We start from the raw sequence: 9,712 nt of genomic DNA on the forward strand, positions 1-9,712 counted from the left end.
CCAAAGGACCAACCACATTCCTTCTGGCGGCTCCAGGAAAAGAACCTTGCCTTTTCCAGCTTCTAGAAACACTCCTTGGTTCATGACCCCTTCCTTCAGCTTTAAAGCCAACAGGGTAGCATATCCCAGTCACTCCCCTGCTCTCTTTGACCACATCTTTTCTCTTTTACTTGCACCCCTGTCCATCCTGCCCCCGACTCCCTTTATAAGAATCTTCATGATCAAATTGGTCTTTCCTGGCTAACCCAGGATAATATCCTGTCTCAAAATCCCTAATGTAATCACATCTGCAAAGCCCCTTTTGCCATGTAAGATAACATATTCACAGGTTTTGGAGATTTGGATGTGGATGTATTGGGGGCCTTTATTGAACCTACTACAGCCGGGGAAGTTTGGATTCAGAAATCAAGCCAGGACAATATCACAAGTATATCTGCACTCTCACTGAGGCATGGGAATTAGCATATATGGGCATGAGGGCATGCCCCGGTTCTGGTTCCAGATTTCCTGAGTGACCTTGTGCAAGTCACTAAGCCTCTCCATGCTGCAGAATTCTCATCTATCAAATGAGTGACTTGTCCTGCATATGCTCTGAATCTGAGCTCAATTGTTCAAGAAGGTTTCAATGAGTATATATGTTCTCAAGGGGTCAGTATTCACAACCACATATTTGGGTAGGAAAAGATAAAACCCACCTATCCACACCTCAAGCCACACCTCTGGCTTGGGAAGAAAGAGATGTGTCTGTTGTGTTAGGGACTGGGGGACCACCAGAGCAAGTTTTTTTTGTTTTGTTTTGTTTCTTTCTGTTGGCCATGGGGCCAGGGTTTGCTCTGTTACCCAGGCTGGAGGGTAGTGGTGTGATCATAGCTCACTGCAGTCTCTAACTCCAGGGCAGGCTCAAAGTATCCTCCTGCCTCGGTCTCCTAAATTGCTGGGACTACAGGCCTGCATCACCATGCTTGGCTAATTTTTAAATTTCTTGTAGAGACAGGGTCTCACTATGTTGCCCAGGCTGCTCGCAAACTCTTATCCTCAAGTAACCCTCCTACCTCGACCTCCCAAAGTGCTGGGATTACAGGTGCAAGCCACCAGAGCACCTGCCAGAAACTTACATTTTAGAATGAGTCCTCTGGGTGCTGGCGGAAAGTTTATTCTAAGGGGGCAAAAATGGAGGCAGGAAGACCATGGAGGAGGCTGCCGAGGTTGTTCAGGCAAAAGATAAGGTGCCTGGCCCTAGAGTGGGCCCAGCCAGGGTGGCAAGAGGTGGGAAGGTGTAAGTGATGCTGGGAGGTCTCCCTAACAAGACATGGTGATGGACCAGGTATGGAGCTGGAAGAAGGAGATGACAAGGATGCTTTCTGGCCTCAGGGGGCTGGGTGGAGTTTGGCACCATCTGCTGAGCTGGGGCCTGTGAAGAGAAGCAGTTCTGGGTAAAAGGAAGATACTGAGTTTATAAAGCACGCTGAAGTCAAGGAGCTGGAGATCATCCCATGGGGGCTGTCCAGAGAGACACACGGATCTAGGTAGAACAATGCAGGTGTCAACAGCTCATAATGGTAGAAGGAAAAACCCAGCAGCCAAAGTGATGTTTTTGTTTGTTGTTGTTGTTTGTTTGTTTTTGTGAGACAGAGTCTCGCTCTGTCCCAGGCCGGAGTGCAATGGTGCGATCTCAGCTCACTGCAACCTCCGCCTCCTGGGTTCAAGCTATTCTCCTGCCTCAGCCTCTCGAGTAGCTGGGATTACAGGTGCACACCACCATGCCTGGCTAATTTTTGTATTTTTAGTAGAGACAGGGTTTCACCATGTTGGCCAGGCTGGTCTCGAACTCCTGACCTCGTGATCCGCCTGCCTCGGCCTCCCAAAGTGCTGGGATTACAGGCATGAGCTGCCGTGCCTGGCCTAAGTGATGTTTCACAAAGCAAATCAGACCAGGCCACTTGTGTGTTCAGTGGCTTTCCATCTTACTCAGCATGAAGTCTGATTGTTTTTACCAGGACTACACTACAAGGTTCTGCACACTCCACCTGCCATCTCCTCTTCACTCACTCTGCTCCAGGTTCAGCCGTCTCCTTGCTGTGATTTAAACTCAACCGCACATGTCCAGTCAGATCTTTTGCTCTCTGCCCTGTCTTCCTTCGCTTGCACAGAAGTGTTTGGTCCCCACAGCTTGTTTCCCTTGGTCTGCAGATGTAGGGATTATGCATCCACAGATGCTTCCAGCAAGCGTTTTCCAGCCCTGAATGCCCCCTACCTCCACCTGTTGGAGCCAGCTGTGCTTCCTAGTCAAGGACAGAGGGTCTGTCTCCTCTTGAGTCTCTGGGGCTCATCCAGTCAGTTCCCAAGCTGGGTTCCTCAGCAGCTTTCACGACAGAAAGGGGTCATGCCCCACCCTGGGACTTCTAGGAGAGATGGAGACAGCATTCTGTTGAGGGACAGATGTTACACAGGGAGACCATACTCTTTTGTATGGGTTTCATACAGGTTATGAAGAAAAACCAAGTAAGGAGTCAGCTAGAAAGGGACAGGCATTCTCTGTAGCCAGAAGATTAGGCAAGACGTTTCGGAGGAGGTAAGGCTTCATCAGGGACAAGTGAGTGGGTAATGAAGCATGTGGCCAGAATATTCCAGGCAGAAGAAACCAGTGCAAAGGCCCTGTGGCAGCAGGGTCACGGGGAGTGTAAGACCTGGGAAGAGTGCACAGTGGTAGGAGAGGAAGGTAGACAGAAAGGGAGGCTGGCAGATCCCAGACCATGCACGCCTTTGAGGCCACGATCAAGAATTGCTTTGGATTCTGGGAATAAAACATTAAAGAGTCTTAAGCAGGGAGTGACACAATCGGGTTTGGTTTTGACAAGATCCCTCCTGGTTGGAAAAGGGACTGGGGAAGAGAAAGTATAGATCTCAGTTTAGAGACAACGGCCATTCAAGAGTGGCTTGGATGGGACAGATAGAGAGATGGAAGGCTGGAGAGTGGGCAGTAAGTTGCAGATATGGGAGAGGGAAGAAGACGCATGTCCAGCTTGTTTCCAGCCCCTCCCACGGAATCAAGGGAAATTGTTTTAGGATGAAATCCCAAACAGTCCTGTTTTCCCAACCAGTATGTAGTATCTAGGAAACTTGGGCTATTAGAGATGCCCTAGGAAAAAATATATTTCTAAATGTAAGAAGATGCAGAGAAATTCCTGGTTGACAGATTGCCAGCAGGTCCTAAGGGAAATTCCTAGCACTCAGATGGGGATGTGGGCTGCTTTTAGGGACAGCAAAAATAGCACACTATGGTGGAAAATATCTGTTTTTACTCTTAGATGTCTGCTTGGAACGTCACAGCATCTGTGGGGTAGGGGGGAGCATTATCATCCCTGTTTTCAAGATAAGGAGAATCAGAGAAGTTGGTGATTTTACCAGGTCCACACGACTCACTGTCACTATTGGGGTGAGGATCTGGGTCCCCTGGATAATTACATCATGCTTTCTACTGTGTCTGGTTCCAAGGGATTCTGGGTCAGGGTTGCCTCGTCTGTAAAATGGGGATAATTCCCACACCTGCCTCCAGGGGGTGCTGTGAATTTTAAATGCAACAGGCACCTGGACAAGGCTTTGCCTCTGTGCACTCTAGGGGCAGTTCCTGGGCTATTGTGGGCTCCATCACAATGGCCACCCTGGTGTTCCTTCTCTAGTCCTTTGAATGAGCTGCTCCCTCCTCCCCTCCCAGGGCTGCTTCCTTGTTCCTTCAGGTCTCTGTTTAGATGGCACTGCCTTAGAGAGCTTTCCCTGGCTACACCATTTAAGACAACCCTCTTGGTTATCATTCACCTCAGTTCTCTGTTCATCCCATCATTGCACTCATCATAACAAAGGCAAATGTGTCTATTCAAGGACTTGTTAATGATCTGTCGCAGGCTCCAGTGGGGCAGAGTTCACATCCCTGTTGATAATTGGGGCTAACTGTATGCAGTGCTTGTCATACAAGGGGGACCCTTCTACATACTTTACCTGGATGAATTCTCCTATCTCTGATGACAATCCTATCATTCCCATTTTACAGATGGCACATAGAGCGACAGCAAGCATCTTTCCCAAGTTCACACAGTCGGCAAGTGCTCACACTGATATTTGAACCCAGACCATGCCTGGCTCAGAGTAGAAACTCAATAAATATTTGTTGCAAGAATGAAGGGTTGGGTTTTGTTGGAAAAAGGCCTGATTGTGGACTGATTGGCTGACTGTCAAGCCTCGCAGTGCATCGAGCATCAGCGCTACGAAGTAAGCTGCGTAAGTGATCCTTCTGGCTCCCAGGCTGCAGGCAGGTCTTGCCTCTAGCTTTCAAACAGAAGGGAGCATGCATCATTTGCTGGGCCAAATTAGGACTTTCGTCTTCCTTGTGTACTTTTGCATTCATGGGCCCTTCTCACCATTAAAAACAAATTAAAAATACATTTTAGAACTGTGCTGGTATAAAGAGGAATACGCTGCAGGTTGTATTAGGTCGGTGCAGAAGTAATTGCAGTTTTTGCCATTAAAAGTAATGGCATGAGCCACTGCGCCCAGCCTCACTCTCTCTCTTTTTTTTTTTTTTTTTGAGACAGAGTCTTGCTCTGTCACCCAGGCTGGAGTGCAGTGGTGCAATCTCGGCTCACTGCAACCTCCGCCTTCCAGGTTCAAGCGATTCTCCTGCCTCAGCCTCCCGAATAGCTGGGACTACAGGCGCCCGCCACCTCGCCCGGCTAATTTTTTGTATTTTTAGTAGAGACGGGGTTTCACCGTGTTAACCAGGATGGTCTCGATCTCCTGACCTCATGATCCACCCGCCTCGGCCTCCCAAAGTTCTGAGATTACAGGCTTGAGCCACCACGTCCGGCTGCCTCACTTCTTTTAAAATTAAAAGCAAAAATTGACTATAACATTAGGGACAGAAAAATAGCACACTATGGTGGAAAATATCTGTTTTTACTCTTAGAGATCTGCTTGGAACGTCGCAGCATCTGTGGGGTAGGGAGGAGGATTATCACCCCTGTTTTCAAGATAAGGAGAATCGGAGAAGTTGGTGACTTTACCAAGTCCACACGGCTCACTGGCAGTGAGTGACTCATGCCTATAATTCAGTACTTTGGGAGGCCAAGGCGAGAAGATTGCTTGAGGCCAGCAGTTTGAGACCAGCCTGGGCAAGATGAGTGAGACCTCCTCTTTACAAAAATAAAATAAAACAAAAATAATAATAATTAAAAGAAACGAAAGCATTTTTGTGGGCCCCTAGGTGTATTGTGGTCCCTAGATACTCTGCCTACTGTGCCAAATGGAGAAGTTGGCCTTGATTGATTGAGCTCTCAGTCCTGTCCTGCGCTCAAAGCATCCATTGTTTCATTTAAACCACAGCAAACAGTCATAGAGGAATGATTATGCCCATTACAGAGATGGGAAAACTGAGGTTCAGAGAGGTTGGCCAGCTTACCCAAGAGATCAGAGTGAGTCTGAGGCACAGCTTGTGTCTGTCTGACACTTTGCCACATTATCACAGAAAGTTCCAACCAGGGTACTCTTCAGCCATGCTGAGAATGAATGCTACATGGCAGTGACTTTGTCATGCCACCAAAAGAAACGCTGAATTGAAGCAGGGAGACCAGAGAGATCTGGCTGACTCGATGACCTCATGCCTGAATTATGGCCCTAGAGTGGTGGCCAGGGGTGGGGACAGAAAAAGAGCCAGCTCCTGGCCTTTGATTTCAACTTCTGGGCAAAGCTGGTGGCCCCTGGCTCCATGGGATAGAGATTAGGGCTATTTATGGCCTGGGAATTGCTAGTCTCAGCTCAGCATACAGGTGGCAGGTGATAAGGTGTCTGCTCAGTAATAAGCTCAGTGGGAAGTTAATAAACACCATTCTGTTCAGAGACGCAATTGCAGATTCAAGCAGGAAGTAAGAGGAATAGCTAAGGGGCCCTGGGGGTGGCAGCACCACCTGAGTTGAGAAGCAGCTGCCCTAAGGAGTTCCTTCCACACCCCTGCAATATCAGGGGAACCCTGAGGAGTTCCTTCCATGCCCATGCAGTGTCAGGGGAGTCGTGAAGTCAGTCAGTCCCAGGCTCTTACGATGGCTCAGCTGCTTCCTGATGCGTGACCTTGGGTGAGTCCTTTTTCCTGTGCCCACCTTGGCTGCCTCCTGTGTTAAACAGAGATAATGAGAATTAAAATAATGGTAACAGCCCCAACTTTATTACCATGCTACAAATGCGTAAGCCTGCCGTCCTGTCTAAGACCAACACATGGGACTGCTATACATGGTTCTTCTCAAATCCATTGTTTTCTTTTCTGGTGTAAGTGAAGAATTGAAGGCTTATGGGGTCGGTCTACAGACCGTTATTGAGTTCCTACAGAATACCCGGTTCTGGGCTTGGCGCTGGATCAGTCAGGCCCTGTTGGGTCTTGCACTCAAATGACAAACGTACAAGGCTTACACCGTGTGTCAGATGGCAATGGTGAAGCAGCATCAGGGAGTTGGGGAGGAGAGGTGGACTGCTTTTTTTATTGGAGGGAGGTCAAGAAGGATGCCTGAATAAGGTAACATTTGAGCAGAGTCCTAAAGACAGTGAGGGGACAAATCATCAGACTAGCAGGGGAAAAAGAACTCCAGGTGGGGGGAACAGCAACGGCAAAGGCTGTGAGGTAGAAACGCAATAACGTGTTTGAGGAATAAGGAGGCCAGGGTGGCTGGAATGGAGGTTAGCAAGGGAATGAGGGTAGGGGGCAGGTTCTGCGGGGCTTTTGTTAGGATTTCTCTTGGAGGAAAGGCTTATTACCACAGTGACTGAGAGTGCTGCCATTAGCCTATGACCCTCAGCTGTCAGCTTGTTCAGAGGTGGCTTAGCTGCAGATGGCTGGCTTCCCACATCCGATGACTGACCACAGTAGGGATATGAGGGTCTGACCATTTCTGCCCAATGCTGTCCAACTCTGATGGGCCATTCCAGTTCCAAGGCTCCCTGCGGGACTGATGGAGGCTGTTCATGGGACTGTATCCCTCCCTGGCTTCTCCCTCTGCCCAGTTCTCATGCCTTTCCTTCCTTTCCACTGGTATTGATCCCAAGGGTACATGCTTAGTGCCATCTCAGGACTCAGTTTCTCCATTTAGTGTGATTGAACTACGTGCATTTGCCAGCCCTGTAGTCCCAGCTACTAAAGAGGATTGCTTGAGCCCAGGAGTTCGAGGCTGGAATGAGCTATGATTGCACCACTGGACTCCAGCCTGGGCAACATAGCAAGACTCCGTCTCTCTAAAAAAAGAAAAAAAAAAAAGGTATAAATTGAACTGATGACCCCAAGGGTTCTTTCATCCCAGATTGTGTAATATAAGGCCATTCTGGCTGGGATCAGGGAAGCCCTCCCTGTGCCCTTTTATTTCTAAAATTCAACCTGCAAAAGCTTTGTAGGAAATTTTAAGGACGGGCTTTTAGTAAGATGGGGACACATTGAAGGGTCGTGGCCAGAGGGGAATGTGATCTGATCTGTCTTTTGAAAGGCCACTCTGGCTGCCGTGTGGAGAAGCAGGATTACCGTGGACTCTGGAAGGCCAGGAGGAGGTTCTTACAATGGTTTCAGAACAAGAGGACAAGTGTCTTTGTGTCCTTGGACAAGCCACTTCCCCGTATCTGAGACTCAGTTTCTCCATTTAGCAAATGGAACGATGGCCTCAACATGCTGAATTGTTTGATAAAGACCATTCTGGGGGTCAGAGGGCCCTCCTGATCTCACAGCTAGAAATGCAATGACTATGTCTGCTATCACCACTGTTACTACTGAGAACATGTCTCGATGAAAGCAATTCTGGAAAATAGGGGAGCAAAAGACCCTCTGTTTGATACTTTGAGGGGTCTTCTGTGGCATAATCTTCCCAGGAAGATCACAGATTTCCATTGCTGCTCTAATTTAACGGGATTCACTCTTTTTCTGTACCTCCTGTGTGCCAGGCCCAGAGCTAGGCACCAGGGATGCAGCTGTGAACAGACTTTGTCCTGTCCTCATGGAGTTTATAATTTGGTGGGGAAGACAGACAAGTCGATGGGAAACCACAACATGGCAAAAAGTGCCTGATAGCGAATGCACGAGCCCATGGATGTACAAAAGAAACACCTAAACAAATTTTAGAGGTGAAGCCCTGGAAGAAATAGAAGATCATACCACTGCATCCAGCCTGGGCAACAAAGCAAGATCCTGTGAAAGACAGAAAGAAAGAAAAGAAAGAAAGAAAGAAAGACAGAAAGAAAGAAAGAAAGAAAGAGAGAGAAGGAAGGAAGGAAGGAAAGAAAGAAAGAAGGAAAGAAGGAAAGAAGGAAAGAAAGAAAGAAGAAAGAAAGAAAAGAAAGAAAGAAAAAGAAAAGAAAGAAGGAGAGAGAGAAAGAAGAGGAAGAAAGAAAGGAAGGAAGGAAGAAAGAAAGAAAGAAAGAAAAGAAAGAAAGAAAGAGAAAGACAGACACAGAACAATAAGTAAAAATTAGCAAGAGAGAATGGGTGGAAGGAAAAGGAGTCCCCGGCAGAGGAAACAGCCTGGGCAAAGGCCCGGAGGTGACAGAGATCAGGATTGTTCTAAAAGTTCAAGTGTTTCGAAGTGGTGGGGCACAGAGTGTGAGAGATGGAGTCAGAGATGGAAGCTGCAGGGGATGGCAGGGCTTGCATCAGGAAAGGCTTGGCTTAAGAGTTAAGACCTTATTGGCTTAGTCGTGTTTCCTCATTCAATGCTGCAGCTGCTCATGTAATCAATTTGTGGCACCAGTTCTGGTTCGCATGGCTAAAAAGACACCCAGAGGGCCCTCTGATCCCAAGAATGGTCTTTATCACACAATCCAAATATGTTGAGGCCATTCATTCCATTTTCTAAATGGAGAAACTGAGGCCCGGGCAATGAGAAGTGGCTCGTTCAAGGACACACTGCAAAGCTGGGGTATAGTATTGGACTTGCACCCTTTTCTGCCTCATGCATCAAGGCTTTGTCCCTATAGCTGTGCCCTATCATTTGAGCAAGCAGCTAAAACTCAGGTAAAGCCCCCAGCATAAGACTGGCATGTAGTCGGTGCTCAGTCAATATCAGTTCTCTTCTTTCTTTCCACAAACCCTAGCTCTGCCACCACTCCTTGGCTGTGCAGACTTTGGGCAAGTTGTACCTCCTGGACCTCCTCTTCCTTTTTTTTTTTTTTTTTTTTTTGAGACGGAGTCTCACTCTGTTGACCAGGGTGGAGTACAATGGAGCCATCTCGGCTCACTGCAACCTCCCCTTCCCAGGTTCCAGTGATTCTCCTGCCTCAGCCTCCTGAGTAGCTGGGATTACAGGCATGTGCCACCATGCCCGGCTAATTTTTGTACTTTTAGTACAGACAGGGTTTCAGCATGTTGGCCAGGCTGGTCTCGAACTCCTGACCTCATGATCCGCCTGCCTCGGCCTCCCAAAGTGTTGGGATTACAGGCGTGAGCCACCGAACCCGGCCGGACCTCCTCTTCTTTGCAGGAAGGGTAGGACAAGAAGCCTCTGGGAACTTCTAAGAATTGAAAGGGGAAGATATCTATTCAGGTGCTAGGATAGTCACACGATTCCTTTTGTTAAGATTTCTACTCTCCAGGGCAGCCTGGGACATTTTGCTTTGCCCAATGCCCTGCAGTGCAAATTGCAAACAAGAGCAGGGGGCCAAAAGGGAGAATGCACAAAAAGCCAAAGTGGTCCCACAG

At 48.1% G+C, this 9,712-nt stretch overlaps 3 annotated features.

Annotated features, from left to right (window-relative positions):
* Positions 3,379-3,673: an enhancer, noted in NCBI's record as "tiled region #5469; HepG2 Activating non-DNase unmatched - State 13:Ctcf, and K562 Activating DNase matched - State 12:CtcfO". NCBI's record gives its function as "activates a minimal TATA promoter and a strong SV40 promoter by Sharpr-MPRA in HepG2 and K562 cells {active_cell/tissue: HepG2 | K562}" and the evidence as "EXISTENCE:reporter gene assay evidence [ECO:0000049][PMID:27701403]".
* Positions 3,379-3,994: a biological region, named in NCBI's record as "Sharpr-MPRA regulatory region 5469".
* Positions 3,407-3,994: an enhancer, noted in NCBI's record as "NANOG hESC enhancer chr22:27231937-27232524 (GRCh37/hg19 assembly coordinates)". NCBI's record gives its function as "activates a minimal SCP1, AML or CMV promoter by ChIP-STARR-seq in naive H9 embryonic stem cells {active_cell/tissue: H9 hESC(naive)}" and the evidence as "EXISTENCE:reporter gene assay evidence [ECO:0000049][PMID:30033119]".

Source organism: Homo sapiens, chromosome 22, assembly GCF_000001405.40.
Source record: "Homo sapiens chromosome 22, GRCh38.p14 Primary Assembly".
NCBI lineage: Eukaryota > Metazoa > Chordata > Mammalia > Primates > Hominidae > Homo > Homo sapiens.